Source organism: Homo sapiens, chromosome 15 (genome assembly GCF_000001405.40).
Source record: "Homo sapiens chromosome 15, GRCh38.p14 Primary Assembly".
Lineage (NCBI taxonomy): Eukaryota > Metazoa > Chordata > Mammalia > Primates > Hominidae > Homo > Homo sapiens.
Genome location: NC_000015.10, coordinates 70,910,832 through 70,932,265, shown reverse-complemented (window position 1 = coordinate 70,932,265; position 21,434 = coordinate 70,910,832). Strand labels below are relative to the sequence as shown.

The following is a 21,434-nucleotide window of genomic DNA, read 5'->3' as shown; positions in this document are numbered from 1 at the left end:
AAACTCTAATCATATATATAAATGCCAATGAAAAAAGTCCATTATTTGGCAGTTATCCAAAGGCATTAATGGGTTTATCTGGTTTTTGTACTTGTTTACTACCCATTACACAGCAATAGATATCAGTCAATTCACCAGTCTGATTTTCTTCTACACACTGTTTTAATACCCCAGAGCAAAAACTGAAAGGGAACTTAAAACCAGACCAGTAAGAAGGCACTGATATGCTGACTAATTAGGGAAATGTCCAGTCTTTATAATCTAGGAGAGCTAGATTTAACAGCTTTGAGGAAATCAATAAAAAGCCTCAATTTCATAACCATAGGCTTTCCCTCACTGGAATTTACAGTTCAAACTTACATCACAAACATAATCTAAAAAGACCCCTCATAAAAAATGGTACCTGGCATTCATGACCCTAACACTCCTGGCAAAACTGTCTAGAAGGACACGAATTCAACTCAGGCTTTGCAACATCCTGACTATTCCAAACTATTAAACTATAAAGAAAAAATTACCATGAGTAACAGTCAGTAGAACTTTCAGGCAACAGATGAAGAAATGCCAAAAAATTAAGAAAATATAGTAACTTGATAAAGACTATGGAATATTTATCTTTAAATTTATAAGAGCAATGAAAAAAATTAAAAACAAGAAAAAATAAGGTACATGCATGCCTCGTTTAATTATGCTTTGCAGATATTGTGCTTTTTTTTAAATTTTACAAATTGAAGGTTTGTGGCAATCCTGTATCAACCAAGTCAGTGCCATTTTTCCAACAGCATGTGCTCACTTCGTCTCTAGGTCACATTTTTGTAGTTCTCACAATATTTCAAATTTTATTATTATTATATTTGTTATGATTATCCGTGATCAGTGATCTGTGATATTACTATTGCAATTGTTTTGGGGCATCACAAACTGTGCCCATAGAAGGTTGCAAACTTAATCAACAAATGTGTGTTCTGACTGCTCCACTCACTGGCACTTCCCCCATCTCTCTCCCTCTTCTTGGTCCTACCTTTGCCTCGAGGCACAACAATATTAAAACTAGGCCAATTAATAACCCCTACAATGGTCTCTAAGTGCTCAAGTGAAAAAATGAGTTACAAGTCTCTCACTTAAAATCAAAAGCTAGAAATGGTTAAGCTTAGTGAGAAAGTCATGTTGAAAGCTGAGATAGGCTGAAAACCAGGCCTCTTTCACCAGCTAGCCAAGTTATGAATGCAAAGGAAAAGTTCTTGGAGAAAATCAAAAGTGCTACTCCAGTGGAACACACAATTAATAAATAAAAACAATAGGAAGAAAGTTTGAATGGTCTGGAAAGATCAAACCAGCCACAGTATTCTCTTAAGCCAAAGCCTAATCCAGAACAAGGCCTTAACTCTCAACAATTCTATGAAGGCTGAGAGAGATAAGGAAGCTGCAGAAGAAAAGCTAGAAGCTAGCAGAGGTTGGTTCATGAGGTTTAAGGACAGAAGCCATCTCCAGAACATAAAAGTGCAAGGTGAAGTAGCAGCAAGTGCTGATGTCAAAGCTGCAGCAAGTTACCTAGATAATCCAGCTAAGATAACTGATGAAGGTAGCTACCCTAAACAACAGATTTTCAATATAGAGAAACAGCCTTCTATTGGAAGAAGATACCATCTAGGACTTTTATAGATGGAGAGGAGAAGTCAATAACTAACTTCAAAGCTTCAAAACACATGCTGACTCTCTCGTTAGGAGCTAACAAAGTTGTTGACATTAAGATGAAGCCAATGCTCCTCTGCCATTGTGAAAATCCTATGGCCCTTAAGAATTGTGCTAAATCTACTGTGCCTGTGCTCTATAAACAGAACAACAAAGTTGTATGCTGATGACAGTATATCTGTCTGCAGCATGGTTTACTGAATATTTTAAGCCCACCATTGAGATCTGCTCAGGAAAAAATTTTCCTTTCAAAATATTACTGCTTATTAACAATGCACTTGGTCACCCAAGAGCCCAGATGGAGATGTAGAAGGAGATTAATGTTGTTTTCATGCCTGCTAACACAACATCCATTCTGCAGTCCATGGAGCAAGGAGTAATATCAACTTTCAAGGATTATTATTTAAGATATACATTTCATAAGGCTTTAGCTGCCTTAAATAGTGATTCCTCTACTGGATCTGGGCAAAGTAGACTGAAAACTTTCTAGAAAGAATTGACCATCCTAGATGCTATTAAGAACATTCATGATTCATGGGAGGAGGTCAAAATATCAACATTAACAGGAGTTTGGAGGAAGTTGATCCCAAACCTCATGGATGACTTTGAGGGGTTCAAGACTTCAGTGAAGGAAGGAACTGCAGATGTGGTAGAAAGGGCAAAAGAACTAGAACTAAAAGTGGAGCCTAAAGATGTGACTGAATGGCTGCAATCTCATGACCAAACTTGAATAGATGAGGAGTCACTTCTTACGGATGAGGAAAGAAAATAGTTTCTTAAGATGGAAACTGCTCCTGGTGAAAAGATGCTATGAACATTGCTGAAATGACAACAAACAACTTAGAATATCACATTAACTTAGTTGATAAAGCACCAGCAGGGTTTGAGAGGACGGATTTCAATTCTGAAAGAAGTCTTACTGTAAGTAAAATGCTATCAAACAGTATCTCATGCTACAGAGAAATCTTTCATGAAAAGAAGGGTCAATGAGGCAAATTTCATTTTTGTCTGAGTTTTACGCCACAGCCATCCCAACCTTCAGCAACCATCACCTTGATCTGTCAGCAGCCATTAACATCACGGCAAGACCCTCCCTCCACCAGCAAAAAGATTACAACTTGCTGAAAGATCAGATGATCATTAGCATTTTTTATTACTAAAGTATTTTTGAATTAAGGTATGTACATAGTTTTTTTAGACATAATGCTATAGCACATTTAATAGACTACAGTATAGTGTAAACATAACTTTTATATGTACTGGGAAACTAAAAACTTCATGTAACTCATTCCTACATTTATTCCTACATTTGCTTTATTGTGGTGCTCTGGAACTGAACCCACAGTATCTCTAAGGTATACCTGCATTAGAAATAAAGACATCTGGGCATTTATGAAAAAAATTCATGTAGAACTTCTACAAAGAAAAAACTACGGTCATTTTTAAAAACTCAATGGATGGACTGAAAATCAAATTAGATAAATTGAGGATAAAGTTAGTGAATTCAAAGGTAGAACCAGATAAGTGATAAGAATGAAGAAATGAAGCAGAGAGAAATAAGAATGATGAAAATTATAGAAACAAAGAATAGAATGAAAAGGTCCATACTATATCTAGCAGGTGTTTAAGAAGTAGAAAGAGATAAAATGGAAGTGCAATATTTGAAAATATAAAGACTCAGAATGTTCCCATAATAAATGAAAGATATGTGCCAGGCACGGGGGCTCATGCCTGTAATCCCAATACTTTGGGAGGCCAAGGCGGGTGGATCATTTGAGATCAGGAGTTCGAGACCAGCCTGACCAATGTGGTGAAACCCCATTTCTACTAAAAATACAAAATTAGCCAGGCATGGTAGTGCACATCTGTAATCCCAGCTACTCGGGAGGCTGAGGCAGGAGAATTACTTGAACCCGGGAGGTGGAGCTTGCAGTGAGCCAAGACTGCAATTGCACTCCAGCATAGGCAACAAGAGTGAAACTCTGTTTCAAAAATAAATAAATAAATAAAAGAAAATTAAATAAATAAATAAATAAATAAATGAAAGTTATGAATCTGCAGATTTAGGAAACACAAATATTAGGTATGCTAATAAAATTACCACATTTTATTAAATCTAACATTATCTTACAACTATTTTATTCAGCACTTGGGGAAAATAAACTTAAAATTAACTTATAGTAGAATAATATATCACTTAAAATTTGTGTTTATTACTGAAAGAGCTCTTTTAGACTTAACCAGATTTTTTTACTGAATATCGTTTTTATGCATACATAAAAAGTAAGTTACACAAAATAAATTTGTTGAACTTCCAGAATATCTCTACTTACTATATAGATGCGGTAGAAAGGGCAAAAGAGCTAGAACTAAAAGTGGAGCCTAAAGATGTGACTGGATCTGGTATATATTACGTAGACGAATAGATGGAACAGAATAGAGGGTCCAGAAAAAAGATCCATTTGATTAGTACTCGATTTCAACAAAGACAACAGTTTAATTCAGTGGGGAAAGCAAGTTTTTTAAATAAAAGATAATGAAGAAAATAGATATCCCTATGTGGGAAAAATGAACTATGATCCCCTACCTCACAGCATACATAAACTTAATTAAAAATGGATGACTGGCTGGGCATGGTGGCTCATGCCTGTAAACTCTGACACTGTAGGAGGCCAAGATGGGAGGATCACTTGAGCCCAGGTGTTTGAGACCAGCCTAGGCAACATGGCAAGACCCCATCTCTACAAAAAATAAAAAAATTAGCCAGGTGTGGTGGCATGTGCCTGTAGTCCCAGCTACATGGAAGGCTGAGGTGGGAGGATTGCTTCAGCCCAGGAGGTCAAGGCTGCAGTGTGCTATGTTCGAGCCACTGCACTCCAACCTGGGCAACAGAGTGAAACTCTGTCTCAAATAAATAAACAAATAAATGAAAATAAAAATGAATCACATATCTAAATAGAAAGGTAAAACTATAAACCTTCTGGAGGAAAATGTAGGTGAACATAGTCATGATATTGGGACAGGAAAAGATTTCTCAGACAGAACACAAAAGATAATAACAACTAACAAAAACAAATTGCTAAACTGAGCTTCACTAAAATTAGAAGTTTCTACATATCAAAAACACTGTTAAGAGAGTAAAAAGGCAAGCCTTTTTACATGGAGAAAATACACTCAATATATATATATCAAACAAAGGACCTGCATCTAGAATGATAAAAAGATAACCTAATTTTTTCAAACAGGTAACAGATTTGAACTGATACTTCATAAAAGATGAAAAGATGCTTGAAAAGATGTTCAGCATCATTAGTAATAAAGAAAATGCAAATTAAAAGCACAATGAGAATCATAGAATTGCTAAAATTATAAAGACTGACAAACTTTGGCAAGGATTTTGAGCAATGAGAACTCTCTATTGCTGCTGGGAGTATAATGGTATAATCACTTCATAAAACTGGTAGTTTCTCCACATCCTCTCCAGCACCTGTTGTTTCCTGACTATTTAATGATCGCCATTCTAACTGGTGTGAGATGGTATCTCATTGTGGTTTTGATTTGCATTTCTCTGATGGCCAGTGATGATAAGCATTTTTTCATGTGTCTGTTGGTTGCATAAATGTCTTCTTTTGAGAAGTGTCTGTTCATATCCTTTGCCCAATTTTTGGTGGGGTTGTTTGTTTTTTCCTTGTAAATTTGTTTGAGTTCTTCGTAGATTCTGGATATTAGCCCTTTGTCAGATGAGTAGATTGCAAAAATTTAAACCATCATTCTCTGCAAACTATCTCAAGGACAAAAAACCAAACACCGCATGTTCTCACTCATAGGTGGGAATTGAGCAATGAGAACACATGGACACAGGAAGGGGAACATCACACACTGGGGCCTGTTGTGGGGTGGGGGGAAGGGGTAGGGATATCATTAGGAGATATACCTAATATTAAATGACAAGTTAATGGGTGCAGCACACCAACATGGCACATGTATACATATGTAACTAACCTACACGTTGTGCACATGTACCCTAAAACTTAAAGTATAATAAAAATAAAAAATAAAAAACAAAAAAACTGGTAGTTTCTAATAAATTTAGACATCCACCTACCCTATGGCTCAGTAATAACACTCCTACATATTTACCTAAGAGAAATGAGAGCATTTGTCCACCAAAATATATATGTAAACTTAAAACTATGGCCATGTTTGGTGGCTCATGCCTGTAATTCCAGAACTTTGGGAGACTGAGGCAGGAGGATCAGTTGAGCCCAGGAGTTCAAAACGAGCCTGGGCAACATAATGAGACCCTATCTCTAAATAAATAAATAATTTTTAAAAACTGCAAGAATATCCGCAGCAGCTTTATTTGTAAGAGCCAAAAATTGGAAATAACCAATGTGCCTGTGAACAGAAAAATGAATAAGCAAATTGTATGATATTTCAACAATGGAATACAGCTCAATAATTTTTTAAACTACTGATATGCACAACAAAATGGATGAATATCAAGACATTATGTTGAATATACAAAAGAGTACATAATCTTTATATATGTACTTTTCAAAAACAGGCAAAATTAATCCACAGGGATAGAAGTCAGAATACCTGTGGGGCAGGGGAGGGTACTAACTAGAAAGAGGCACAAGGAAACTTTCTGAGGTGATAGAAATATCAGTCACATGAAATTACTCAGATTAAATAGAAGCTATTGAACTGTACAGTTGATTGTGTATTTTATTGTACCTAAATTATCCCTCAATAAAGTATGAAGGAAAAGTCTTCATATTTAGATTTAAACTTCTCAATCACTTTTCAACTAATAATGTCCATGCTTTTCACACAATATTGTCTTCTATGCCATTAAGAACATTGATGATGCAGTATATCCTAAAAGTGTGTTCCATTATTGTATATGGGATTTTCTTCCAAATACTGATACCCATTCTGTATGTTTTGATACTATAAGACAAAGAAAGCACCAATATGAATTGTTCACACAGCTTCTTGTTATTTTGAAATTTCTTTCATCTATTCCAAGGGGTTTCCTCAATTTCTTCTGCCTTCAGTTGCATTGCTTGACACATGATAGGCAAAATCTCTCTGAATCTATCTCAGTAACAAATGTAATACAGCTTCAGTAATACATGGCTATCTTCCTTTTAAAGTATTTGATTGTTAATTAGCAAGAGAAGGTAGAATTGCGGCCATTCTTCCAATGAAAAATAATTTGTCTCACTAATATTAAACTTAATGTCTTTGCTGCCCTATTTCCATAACTTTTTGAATAGAATGTTTCATTTCAATGCCAAATCATGGTGTAATATTTTAAAATGCATTTTGAACAGTGATTAAACTCAAAACATACAGTACCAACAACTGAAATGACAATAGTACAAACAGCATAACCAAGTCCACATATATTTAGGCAATGAAATTGCTGTAGCCTGTATAACATTGATTTAAGCATGCTATAGATTGTAAGACATACCTAGATTTCAGAGTTGGAATATGGAAAATGTCTGTTTCAAATTAATAAAATAAGATAGTTCCACACCTAAACATATCATAGTAAATCTGAAGGACTTCAAAAAGAAATCTTACAATCTTAAAGGCAACCAGAGGAAGGAAAAGAAGATACCCTAGACACACACAAATGATAGTAGACATTTTAATGACAATAACAGAAGCTCAAAGGCAATGGAATATGATATTCAAACGTCTGGGAAAAAAATAACTGTCAGTCAAGTCAAACCATCAATCATGAATAAAAGCAAAATAAACTCATTTTTTGATAAACAAAAACTGAGAGACTTCAGAGTTATCTCAAGGAAACTTTTTCTAAATGATATATTTTGGGAAGAAGGATAGACAGAGATGCAGAAGGAGTGGTGAACCCAAACAAGCATGTGGGCAAATCCAAATAAGCACTGACTGGAAACAATAGCAATTAAAATGTCTAATTTTGGGGGTAAAAGAATAAAAAGAAAATACTAGGCAACAAAAACATGTAAAATGGAAAGGTTACTGTATTAAATGATTCTAAGGTCCTTATCTGATAAGAGTGTAGAGATGTGTATTAACTCTGTGATTTAAGTCAAGTGTATATTTTAAAATGCTAAGAGTAAGCATTAAAGTGAATAAGAAAGAACAGAGAAAACACTATCAACCCAAAATAAGACAGAAGAAAATAAAAACATAGGGAAAATATAACAAATAGGAAGCATGAAATAACATCTAAGTAAAAAATCTAAACATATCAGTAATTACAATTAGTACAATAGACTAAAGTCTCTGGTAATAAGACAGATTCTCAGATTATATGTTTAAAAGGGGGGCTATGCATTCTTTTTAAGAGAAAGGTTGGAAGTTAAAGAATACATACTTCATATACACTGAAAAAAACTCAGCATCTTTTCTCTGACATTCCTGCCATACTCTTCACAAATGTCAATGTCATGAAATACAAAAAAAGACTCTTCTAGATTAAAGAAGACTAAGGAGATATAACAACTGAATGCAATGCATGATCTTGTATTTTCTTTTGCTATAAAGAACATTATTGGGACAAATGGCAAAATCCAAATAAGATCTATAGATTAGATAAATGGCATCATATCAATGTTAATTTCCTGAGTTTGATAGTGGTACTGTTGTTATAAGACAATTCCTTGTTTTTAGGAAATACATACCGAAGTATGTGGCAATAAAGAGGCATTATGCCAGCAACTTACTCTTAAATGGTTGAAAAAAAGTATATATTAACTGATATATGGAGAAGGAAAAAGGGAGAAAGTAAGCAAGAGAGAAGATAAAGCAGATGTAGCAAAATGTTATCATTTAGAGAATCCGGGTGCATTTTGTACTGGGAATTCTTTATACTATTATTACAACATTTTCTGAAATTATATCAAATTAAAAATTTTTCTAAAAAGGTTAGGAAATAAAAAAGATATACCAAAGAAAAATAACCAGAAAAGCCTGGTATTAACATTAAATAAACATTAAGGTAATAAGTATTATTAGTGTCCTGTTATATCCCAACTACCTAGAACAATGCCTGGCATATAGCCCATGCTCATAAAATACTTGCTTAATGAAGGAGTTAGTAATAAAGAGAGTTAATACATAACAATAAAAGGAACAATTACCAAGAAGATATATTAATTTTAAACTTGTATGCTTCTAGAAACATAGCTTCAAAATACTGACAAATACTAGACAAATACATTGATAGTAAGCATCAACTATAGATACTGACCACATACCAGGCAATAAATAAGTAAATAAAAACCTCAGCAAACGTTAAAGTACCAATTACACATAATCTACATTTACTGGTCACAATGCAATTAAACTAGAAAAGAATGGCCATAGAATAAAAAATCCATACATTTCAAAATGTTAAGGTGTACTTCTAAATAACACATGGATCAAAAAAGAAATCACAGTAAAACATGGAACTTACAAAATGTTTAGAACTAAATAATAAGAAAAATACTAAATTTCAAGACTTATGGGAAGAAGCTGAAGTGATTTTTAGAGGGAAATTTATAGGCTTAAATGCTTTTATGAGAAAATTTAAAAGACTGAAAACTAATATATGAAATATCCAACACAAAACTTGAGACAGCAACAGATAAAATAAAAGATATATACAAATGTTGGTAATATTAGTTCCTATTATTTTGGGGATATCTGAAATGTTTCAGGTTTTTTTGAGTTTTATTAATTTTTTGCTTTAAAATTTTTTATTAATTTTAAATTTTTGTGGGTACCTAGTAGGTATAGGTATTTATGGGGTACATGAGCTGTTTTGATACAGGCATGCAATGTGTAATAAGCACATCATGGACAACGGCGTATCCATCCCCTCAAGCATTTATCTTTTGAATTACAAACAATCCACTTACATTATTTTAAAATACACAATTAATTTATTATTGACTATAGTCACCCTATTGTGCTATCAAATGGTAGGTTTCATTCATTCTTTCTATTTTTTTGTACCCATTAACCATCTCCACCTCCCCTCAACCCCCCACTACCCTTCTCAGCCTCTGATAACCATCCTCCTACTCTCTATGTCTATGAGTTCAATTGATTTGATTTTTAGATCCCACAAATAAGTGAGAACATGCGATATGTGTTTTTCCATTCCTGGCTTATTTCGGTTAATGTGATCTCCAGTTCATTCATGTTGTTGCAAATGACTGGATCTCATCCTTTTTTATGGCTGAATACTACTCCACTGTGTATATGTACCACATTTTCTTTATCCATTCATCTGTTAATGGACACTTAGGTTGTTCCCAAATCTTAGCTATTGTAAACAGTGCTGCAACAAACATAGGGATGCAGATATCTCTTCCATGTCCTGACTTCCTTTCTTTTGGAAATATACCCAACAGTAGGACTGCTGGATCATATGGTAGCTCAATTTTTAGTTTTTTTTAGGAACCTCCAAACTGTTTTCCACAGTGGTTGTACTAATTTACATTCCCACCAACAATGTACAAGGGTTCCCTTTTCTCCACATTCCTGCCAGCATTTGTTATTGCCTGTCTTTTGGATATAAGACACTTCATAATTTTTAAAGAGAAAGATGCCATACAAACTAAAAATACTTGGTTTGAAATTTATAAAATTTCAAAAACAAAGATTGGTAAATAAACAAGCAATAACTTTTCTACATCAAAAACATCAGAGAAGGTGTCTGTTCAAGACGGTAAGTAGGTTGCATTTGTTTCACCTTCTTTCCAAGATTCAATGGGTGAAGCAATAAAAATACACACAAATGAGTACATTCATGAAAACCCTAACAAAAGAGTTATCATCATCTGACCAACACTTCTGATGAAGTTCAAGCAGCTGAAAAGCTGATGGGATCTTACTGAGATAACCCTGAGCAGAGAGAACTGCAGCTCAGAACTGCAAGAGAGATGCTGCACTCAAAGCCAGCAATTCTTTCTGACTGAATGCCATCTTACTCCATGCTGGGTCAGTGCATACAATGAGCAGGCATGGACTACGGTGAACTGTGCTGAATCAAGTAGTGTATAATCAAAGATCTGTCTACTCAACAGCTATTTTTGGAATACCAACAAACCCACCCACTCCCACTTCTGTCATGAACATAAACATGTACAGAGCATCTGGCTAAAGAAATCCTCAGCTAGAGCCTAAGGAACTGTTCTCCAAACAAAATAGAGTATTTGTCAAAAAAGGGTGGAAAGTGTGGGTGTTTTATCTATAGAGATTATTAACCACCTCTACATAAGAATCAGAGGGAAAAAAGAAATGGCAGTTTCACCTGGCACAAATGAAAACAAAGTCTTTCTACCCCTGAAAGTAAAGTCTTATTTTGGCAGTCACTGAGTGACTTTCCCTTTCACTTACCCTAAAGGGAAGTTCACAAATGTGTGGGATTCAAGAACTTACACAAATCTAGTGATTATTCTAGAGTGAGATCTTATGGTTAAAAAGATCTATTCAACTGCACAGGATACCCAGATACTCCTTAACATGGTCCTTCATTTAAAGATTACCAGCTACTGAGGAAAATCAAAACCATGAAAGAAAAAAAAGCAAGAAGAATAAGTGTGGTAACTGATACTGGAGAAAAAAATGATGGAAGAGAAGTATTCTCAGATTTTAAAGTCCCTTGAATCTTTTAAAAAAGAGATGCTTTGAAAAAGAAATGAGTTGGATGAAGTTTATTTGTCCATATATTTCACAATATATGGATATAGTAAATTTGATATATAGCAAATTTCACAATTGACTGTAATTAATATGCATGATACTTACTACTGTCTTCTTAACTTTTAGAAATTAATACAATTTCCTCTTCCATAAGTTGTTTACTGCTGCCTAAACTATAACAGTAATGATTAAACATAATACTCAACGGGAAATTCAGTAAGCAATTTCCTAAATATGCATTATGCACTTTCCAAATGAAAGCCAAAATATAGGCAGGAATATGCTAGGGCCAATAGATTCCTGTTCCCTACTCTAACAAAGCTTTTTGGAATCTTACCAGACCCAAGGTCCTAAGGACAAACTAAGTCCTGACTGAGCAGTTCTTGGAGATTTAGCAACATAACAGGTTAACCCAATCTGAATGTCTTCTAAATAAACAGTCCAGTTCCAGTATTGTATCTAATCTGGGAAGGGCTTGACAGAATTTAGAAGTTCTGGAATAAATCTGTGTCTTGGATAGCATGCTAAAATTATTCTAACCTTCTAGAAGAGATGAGTATTACCTGACTCATATTTTCTGGGAAACCTTCAAAATAAAACCAATCTGTACGATGAGACCTATAAATAAGGTATCCTCTGTCCCCCAGCCTTTTCAAGTGTACCATTTATAGTACACTTAGTTCTTTACAAGGGAACTCAAGGTATTGAAACAGCTAAGAGTTATATTGTGTCTTTCAAAGTGCATAAATGATACCAGAGAGAACTTAAAGCAGTTTTTCTATAGCATTTAAACAAAGGAAACTTCTTAAAAGAGCAAATAATGTTCCTCATTAGCTGTATCATATCACAAAGCAGAACAGTTATATTTCTAATGCTCTTCACATATGTACGAATACAAAATATCTCAGCATCAAGCTTCTATTTAGTTGCTGACCTTCAGCAAAATCATAAATTTGACAAAGTTCATCTCAGAGTTCCAGAATCCCCTTTTGTGTAGTTTTGCCCCCACAATCGAACTCTTTTTCCTCCTGCTCACATGCCAGTTCTCTACCATCTTCATGTCTTTTTTCAGAGTCAATAAACCAAAAAACACCCTAGAGTCAAACTGGTCCAATGTCCTCATTTTAGAAAAAGCTAAACTGAGGCCAAGAGAGTTGTGATTTACCCAAGGTCACACAGCTAATGAGAGATGAAGCTAAGACCATAACTAGGCCTCTGATGCCCTGTGCAATGCTTTTCCCACCATACCAAGCTCCTCTTTAAAAACTGCAAAGCATACAGTATGTGTATCTTCACAACTCTCAATCTCTCCTCTCTGTGCCTTTTCCCTCTTGGTACAATAATTTCTCAACTTTCAGTCACAAATAACCCTCTTTCTTATTAATTCTATACCCATGACAAAACAGAAGAGGGTTTACTACTCATTTACACCAAATGATTCATTTAGTGATAACACTTCTGTTGTGTTTCTAACATTATATTTATTCTTTAAAATGGAAAATACCTCAATACCTCCCAAACCAACATATTACAGAGCTTAATAATTACATCCACAATTTAAATTCAGAAAAAACCTAAATAACCGTAGATTCTTACTTTGCAGAAAGCCATATTACAACATTTGTTTCAATTCCTTGAAAGAAAGCCACAAAGTACATATCAACTCCATTTTAATACTCACCACGAAAGTGATTTGATTGTGTCGCAAGTTAAGTTCAGTTAGTGAATCCAGCCCATTAAGATTATCAACATGACTTAAAAAGTTCCTGGCAAGATTTAAAACTCTCAACTCACACAAATGATTAATATTTTCAATTTTGGTAATCTGTTAAAGAAAATAGGAGAAGGGTGATTAGCAGGCAAAAACCTGAAATATACATGTTCTAAAAACCCTAAAAATAAAATATTCGAAGTCACTAGATTTAGTGGCAAGTTTATATGTAGACATTTAAAAATCTATTTTCAATTTCCTATGCTGTAGATAACATGAAGTCACGTAACTTGTGAACATTAGCTAAAAGATCATATTTTACAATTTGACCATAGTAAACACTTGACGTAAACGTCATCAAATAGTCAATGAGTCCATTGGGCAACTTTACGTGCCCAGTCTGTCCCAGGTTCTGTGAAGGCTACATACTACCTGCCAAATAGAAACATACTGTGATCCCAAGGCATAAGCTCATCATGTTTTAACAAAGCAAGTCTGCCCTCTGACAGAAAAGGCAAGGGAAAGGAATGACATCAAGTTACCCTTATTAATTCTATTTAAACTGCAAGATCTTGAGAGCAGTCGAGTCTGAATGGAAAGAGTCAAGGAACTAGGATTCCCAGTAGAAGATGAGGTTAATTTTTTTTTAATTAATGGAAAGCTGTTCCATTAATAAGGATGGAAGATGTTTAGTGAGGGTACAAAATGGTGAACATTGTTTAAAACAAGAGGACTTGAATCATGGAATATGCATGTACATATAATGTTACAGGATCTTTGGGGTGTCATTTTTCTGACCAGAAACCTCTGTGGCCAGTGGTACCTTTGCCCAAGTTTTGCTCTGGCCCGCTGGGCTCATTTTGCCTACCCACCCTGGCAGGCTGCACTCAGCTCATGCTACTGGCCTGGGTCCCACGCCTGCTAAGGGCAAGTCAGGTGTGGAACTGAGAAGGGAGTGTGAGTGAGCATGGGGTCTGGCCACTGTGCACAGTCAGACATGCTGGCTGCTACAGCAGGGCAGGCAGCTCCAGGTGCTGGCACAGGCACCAGCTCTCTGCGAGGCTATGGCTGGACCAGGAACACTGCAAGCAGCTTCCACAGCTGGCACTGAGAACACAGTGGCACTCGGAAGCTTGGATATGCGAGGAACCGCAGGGTCCCAAAGAGGGAGTCACAGCCCTGGCTTGGGGAGCTCTCAAGTCTAGGTGACCTGAAGGGCCACAGTTTCCTTCTCTTTGCCTGCAACATGGCGAGCAAGGGGCATGTCTCAGCCCTGTTTGTGTTATAGCTCTTTTAGCCTTGCCATTCTGGGGTCCCAAATTCTGTGGGTCCCAGGTTCTTGTCCTGCGACCAGGAAGAATGAGGTATGCAGACAAGTGGAGGGTGAGCAAGACAAAGAGGAGCTTCTTAAGTGATAGAACAGCTCAGAGGAAACCCACAGGGAGCAGCTCCTTTCCACAGCCAGGGTGTTCTGATGAGTGTTCAGCTCCTAGCAGAGAGGGTAGCTCCTCTGTACTAGGAAAGTCATCTTGACAAGTGTTCAGCTATCAGCAGAAAGGGCAGCCCCTCTTTGCAACTGGTCATCCCATCAACTCTGCAGCTCTCAGCAGAGAGGAAGCCCTAGAGTGAGTTGCTCCTCTCTGCAGATGGTCATCCCAATGTCTCTACAGCTGTCAACAGAGAGAGGGCCCTAGAGTACTTTGGTCCTCTCTACAGCTGGTTATCCCAATGTCTGCTCAGCACTGGCTGAGTCCAGGGCTTTTATGGGCTTCAGGGTAGAGGAAGTGAGTGCTGATTGGCCCATGGGCGGCCACAGGCAGGCCCAGAAAAGGTACCACAAGTTCCCACTCCAGTCGGTGGGAGTGGCAGTCTGGCCTGAAGGTAGGGAGTCACCAGGGACCTGCCCCCTTCTGCTCAGGCAACTGTCTGCTTCCTGCTGCTGTTCATGGTGCCCAGGCTATAAGTATGAAGGGGCACCTGCAGGCCAGCACCTAGCTGCCCTCAGCCCCCCTCAGATTCCCTTCTATGCTTGTTGGCACCAAAAGTTCAGAGGGAGCTGAGGTGGCAAGGGACTGGTGTGTAAGCACTGCCCCAAGCATGTGCACACTTGGCCAGGCTGCCACAGCACCCAGGCTCAACCACAACTTTGCTCTGAGATTGGAGCAGGCACCAACAGCAGGGAGAAGCCAGACAGCAGAAACAAACACTTCAGAACCTGTCGGGAGAGTGAGGGTTGGGGGGTACTTTCTGCGTCCCCAAGAGTGCAGAGATGCCTGGGTCCACAGCTGCAGTTTGGGAGGCTGCAGCTGTACCCAGGAGGGCGGGGCTCCTGCCTGCTTCCTGGCCCCAACAGCACAGGGATGCCCAGGTCTGCAGCCGTGACTTGAGTGGCTGCAGCAGCACCCGGGGAGCTCCCGCCCCAACTCGGAAGGGGCAGGGCTCCCACTTGTCCCCAGGTCCACCTGGCTCCATGGAGCCCACAGCCCCAGCCACGCCTCCCTGCTGCAGCTGGCCTGATGGCAGCAGCCACTCCAGATGGCCTGCTGCTGCCGTTAATAATCAGCACTGAGGCCAGGCGCGGTAGCTCACACCTGTAATCCCAGTACTTTGGGAGGCTGAGGTAGGTGGATCACTTGAGGTCAGGAGTTTGAGACCAGCCTGACCAACATGGTGAAACCCTGTCTCTACTAAAAATACAAAAACTAGCCAGGTGTGGTGGCATGGGCCTGTAATCCCAGCTATTCAGGAGGCTAAGGCAAGAGAATCACTTGAACCCAGGAGGCAGAGGTTGCAGTGAGCCAAGATCACGCCACTGCACTCCAGCCTGGGCGACAGAGCGAAACTCCACCTCAAAAATAATAATAATAATAATAAATAATCAGCACTGAACTGCAGCAGAGAAGTTTGAGCTGCACACTAAGGAGAGGGTAAGTAAAAACTAACACTGTGAAGTGATGAGAGCTCAAAGTGATGTTAAGCCCCACTATTATAATAGAGCAAGTGTAGCACAATGGGATGAGTTTCTGCATGACACAAAATAGAAGTCCTCATGGAGGACTTCATAAACCTGATGAACATTAAAATGAATTTCACAATCACTAGAGATTAATTTGCTCATTTGTATTGCCATCACAGTATATTTGAAATTTCTTACTAACACTTCAAAGCAGATGTTAGCTAAAAGAACTTTTCTCAGATGTCTAATCTATATTTCACATTGTTATTTGGACACTCTTATATTCAAGAAACACCATCTAGGTTCCATCCAGTTTCCAGAAAAGAAACATGTTTATTATAAATTCAATAATATATAAAAGTAACCTATGACCACGTTTAAAATGTGTTTTAAGATTTTTGATTTAACTAATGTAAAGATAAAATTATATAAAAGTTGAAAAAGAAACAAGATTATGAGTATTAACAGATGATAAAACTGTGTAATAAGACATGGAGTAAAATATTTTAAAACTAAACAGGTGATAGAATTTAAAATGCAAGAAGCCAGTAAAAAGGAAAATAGATACTGTAGAAAAAGTAATCAGTAATGTCAGCGCAAGCTTAGAAATCCTCCCAAAATGCTAAGGAAAAACAGAGAGGAAGAATAAAAGATAAGATGGAGAGATGGAAGACAAACAATACAGATATAACAAACATAAATGGAAAAGAAGCAGTGTTTAAATATAGAAAACTTTCCTGAGCTCAAGAAATATATAAATATATAGAGTTATGGGGGACAATTGTATGATCTGCACGGTGTGTTTTCTCCCTTCTGCTAATAGTTCTGGACATTTCTTTTAGAAAACTACCCTTCCACATGGTCCTGGTGGGGCTTACAATTAGAATGCCTGCATTTAGTTACCTTCTAGTTAGAAAAGTCTGAAAAGAAACATGGTTAATTCTTGTATATAGACCCATATTTTAAAAATCACTAAGAATATTATCTGGCTTCTTGGTTTGCAACCCAACAGGCCAGAATCATGTACAACATCTGCTATGGAATAAAGTCAATTACTCGTTACAGCCATGGACAAAGTCACAAGCATAAAGCAGATAATAGAAGCTTCAGGCAAAGGGTTGTATAAAGTGACAGCATAGGTCTTGATTGATTGATATACTTCACAGCAAGAAAAAAGATGATGGGAATGTTGGAAAGCCCATTTATGGGTCATACAGATCAGAGAGTGTCCCAATATAGTCTGCAAGGCTTCTTAATACATCTAGGAAAGCTGGATACTCCAGTCTTAACCTTTGTGTATGAGAGTAACCTAGATTGCTCTGCCTGGATAAAGATAACCTTCCTACCTACCAATACAGAAAAGGCAAGTGTTTGCTTTCAGGTAAGCAGCCACAGAAATAGCAGGCTCTCCCTGGAGGAAAAGAGATCACTGAAAGAACAGATTCTTCTTGAAGCACATCTGTGTCTATGTTAAAGCAAAAATTCACTGAGAGAAAAAATTATGGTTAACCAACACAAGCTCTAGGTTAGAAATTCCTACTCAACCTCCTAGATTCCTCTGTATTCACTACTCATATATAATTAATTGCTAAGTCTTGATGTTTCTACTTTTTAAATATTTATCCAATCTGCCCCCTTATCATATCCTTATTGCTACTACTTTAGTTCATGCCACCATCACTTCTCGCCAAGATTATTGTAATTAGTTTCTCCCAACTGTTTTGTCTCCATTTCCCCTCCTTCCATCTCTACTTCCCAATCCATTTCCTGAACACCATCATCATTACTCAGAATGATTTCACATCCATAAACCAATTATGTTTTATTTCACAATGTGCACCAAGCATATTTTTATTACCAATAGAAGTAAATTCAAAAGACAAAAAACATTCACTTAATGTCTTTTAGCTTCTTTACTATAAGATGCTAAATTTTTAGAATTGGACATTAGTTGTTTCATCTAGAATAGTTCCTTCCTGGCTTTTTAGAAACCTAAGGTAACTAAGACTGTATCTTTGCTTTGAAATACTGTGAATTTTTGCTATTTGGATTCATATATTATGAAACAAGACTCAGATTTTCATTTAAAACTTTCTTCTTCCAGTTATAGAACATTTGTACTGCACAAATTACTTCTCAAGGTTCTATAACTGGAAGAACCTTGAGAAGTAATTTGTGCACTACAAATGTTTAATTTTAACACACACAATATCACAAACATATGCTGAAATTATAAAATATATAACACAGGTCAGCTAACAAGGAACAGACATTTTTCATCAACATAATGATTGGTAAATAATGCCTATACATAAGGTACAGATCAAATGATATGGTATTCATTTATCAGGTGCTCTTGAAGATCTTGGGTAGTACTCACAAACTCTTAAAGATATATTAGAATTTGAAAATCATATGTTTATTATTTCTCATGTATACACTTTAAAATAAACAAGAAAAATACTGCTATCATAAAATGTTTCATTTATAGTTATAAACAGTTTTTAAAATACAGGATAAAACACCAATTAATTTGCCTGGCATACAAAGCCCTCCACAATCTGGCCGTTGCCTACCTTTCTAGTCTCTTCTCTCAGCATCCTTCCACACATGCTCTGTTCTCTGGTGGTAAATACTTACTGTGTTGTTTTCCATCTCAGTGCCTTTGCATATGATATTCTTTTACTGTCAATACTCTTTAATTCTTCTTCCCCTTCTAGCACCATCTAACTGGATAACTTCCCCTCTGTTGGACAGACAGTAACTAACCTGCAGAGCCAGACAATTCCCAGGCCACCAACACTCCTCCCACTTACTACATGCACACACAGACAAACACATCAGGCTGAACTAGATTCGAACCTAATAGATGTGGCCTATTAAATCTATCAAGGTTTTTATTAATTACATTAGCTTTTCACCAAAACTACTGGAACTAACAGCTGTTAGAAAGCCTAGAGAGACCACACTGAGGTTTTCACCTGACCAACTGTAAGCAGCTGTGAAAGATCTTGTTCATCAACAGGCAGGGATTCCCCGATCATCCCAGGATGTAGGCTTATCACTGCAGAAGAGACTTTACATTCTGCATAAGTATGTAGCTCATGTAACTATTTATAAATATTACATTTCAAAGACAAATATTTAAATGGATGAGCAAAGGACTGAAAAACAGCCAATATGATCTGACAGAGAAGAATAAAGAGAGGGAACATAAAAAAATAGATATAGAGCTGGGCACGGTGGCTCATGCCTGTAATCCCAGCACTTTGGGAGGCCGAGGCAGGTGGATCACGAGGTCAGGAGATCGAGACCATCCTGGCTAACATGGTGAAACCCTGTCTCTACTAAAAATACAAAAAAATTAGCCGGGTATGGTGGCGGGCACCTGTAGTCCCAGCTACTCAGGAGGCTGAGGCAGGAGAATGGCGTGAACCCGGGAGGCGGAGCTTGCAGTGAGCCAAGATTGCACCACTGCACTCCAGCCTGGGCGACAGAGCAAGACTCCGTCTCAAAAATAAATAAATAAATAAATAAATAAAATAAATATAGAAATTCAGACAGATACAGGAATAGACAAATTGAACATAATTGGGAGCCCAGATTATATAGTAATCAGGAAAATAGAAATCAAAACCACAAAGTGATACCACTTTATACCAATTCAATCAGAAAAAAATTAAGAAGTCTGACAAATCAAAATGTTGAAAAGAATAGGAAGCAACATGATTATGTATTAGTGGTACGAGTACAAACTGGTACAATCCCTCTGGAAAGCAATTTGGCATTATCTTTTAAAGTTAAACATTTAAATAGCCTATGACTCATCAGTTTCACTCCTATATACTCTAGAGTACATATGGAATATGAAGAACAGGAGACTTGTACAAGAAAGTTCTTAGAAGTACTATTCATAATAGCAAAAAACAAGATAAAACAAACAGACAACAACAACAATAAAAACAGGAAACAATCCAAATGTCTATCAATAAGAAACTGGAGCAAAAAGTTTTTGTATAGTCTTACCATGGAACATACAACTATAAATAAAACTATAGCTACTTGAAATAGTTAAATCTCAGTAATATAATGCTGTATTCAAAAAGTAAACACTAGATGACAACATATAGTATACCTTTTTTAAATTAAGAGACAATACTACTAAAGGATATATTATTAAGACACACCTATATGTGATAAAACCAACTGAAAAACCCAAAAAGGAATGAAAAGCATGAAACCTAAAATAGTGGTTACCTGTGATGCAGAAATAAGGAGATGGAATAAAAAAACAAATACCTAAGTAGAAGAAAGTCAGTAATATTCTAGGTCTTGGATTGGGGTTGCAAAATGTGTACTTTAAAAATAAGTTAATAAAAAACAAAATTGTCATAACTATAAGAATTTGAAATGTTTTATAAGCTGTATCTGTCATGTACTGCTGAGGAGTTACCAAATCTTCTATAAATAAGCTTGATACCTTAGAAATTTCAGTGAATCAATAAAGAAACTCTTGAAAAATTCAATGCGAGTATGATTCTTAAAACTTTTATACCATTTTCCTGGACTTTTTTTCAAAAAAGAAAGAAATGAAAGGGCTTTACAATACCTGATTTCCATGAAGATCCAAGACATCTAAGCTTTTTAGATTCTCCAGATTTGAGATTTTCTTGATTCTGAAAACCAGAATAAGTAGAATAGAAATACGGATGTATCACATCTATCTGTAAATCAAAGTATGCTAAGGCATAAAGGTGTAACTCATTTTAATTTACTCTATCTACATATATAGTTATATATATATTCAACAATAATATATTTCCCTCTGATTTATTATAATTTAAAAAAAATGCAATACCACTCAAGAGAAAGAGAGTTTAAATGTCACATCATTAGAAAAGAGCAATCCTATGTCTAAGAACCTTAAGTCAAGGCACTTATTCAAGGCAGTTCTTCACATTAGAATATAATCTAAACTCCTTACTTCTGCCTACAAGGCACTAACCTGGCTGCTGACCTTTCAGCCAGCCTTATCTCCTACCACAGGCTCGCTCACTCACTCTGCTCCAGCCACAGAGGCATTCTTGCTGTGTCTCTAACCTGGCAAGTACATTTCCACCTTAGGGTATTTATTCTTGCTGTTCCTACTCCCCTAATGTTCTTCCCTCAAAACTTCACATTATTCAGGTCTCAGATCAAACAACTCTTCAAAGTTGCTTCCAGATGACCATATTTAAAATACCTTTCCCTTCCTGTCCCCATTACTCTTTCCTTTTTCTGCTTTGACTTCACAGAATTGATCGTAGCCTAAAATTGTATTATTTTGTGTTTATATTTTTAAAAAATCTCTCTTGCCAAATCAAAATGTGAGCTTTA

General features: G+C 36.6%; 1 protein-coding gene across 5 annotated transcripts in view; it reads right to left on the bottom strand.

Annotated features, from left to right (window-relative positions):
* LRRC49 (leucine rich repeat containing 49) overlaps positions 1-21,434 on the bottom strand; it is a 200,281-nt gene that overhangs the window by 121,393 nt on the left and 57,454 nt on the right. For all 5 annotated transcript variants that reach the window (NM_001284357.2, NM_001199017.3, NM_001363732.2 and 2 more), the window contains 2 exons: positions 20,668-20,734; positions 13,073-13,216 (listed from right to left, as the gene is read on the bottom strand). In NM_001284357.2, coding sequence (NP_001271286.1) covers positions 13,073-13,216; positions 20,668-20,734 — 211 coding nt within the window. The remainder of the gene's footprint in view (positions 1-13,072; positions 13,217-20,667; positions 20,735-21,434) is intronic.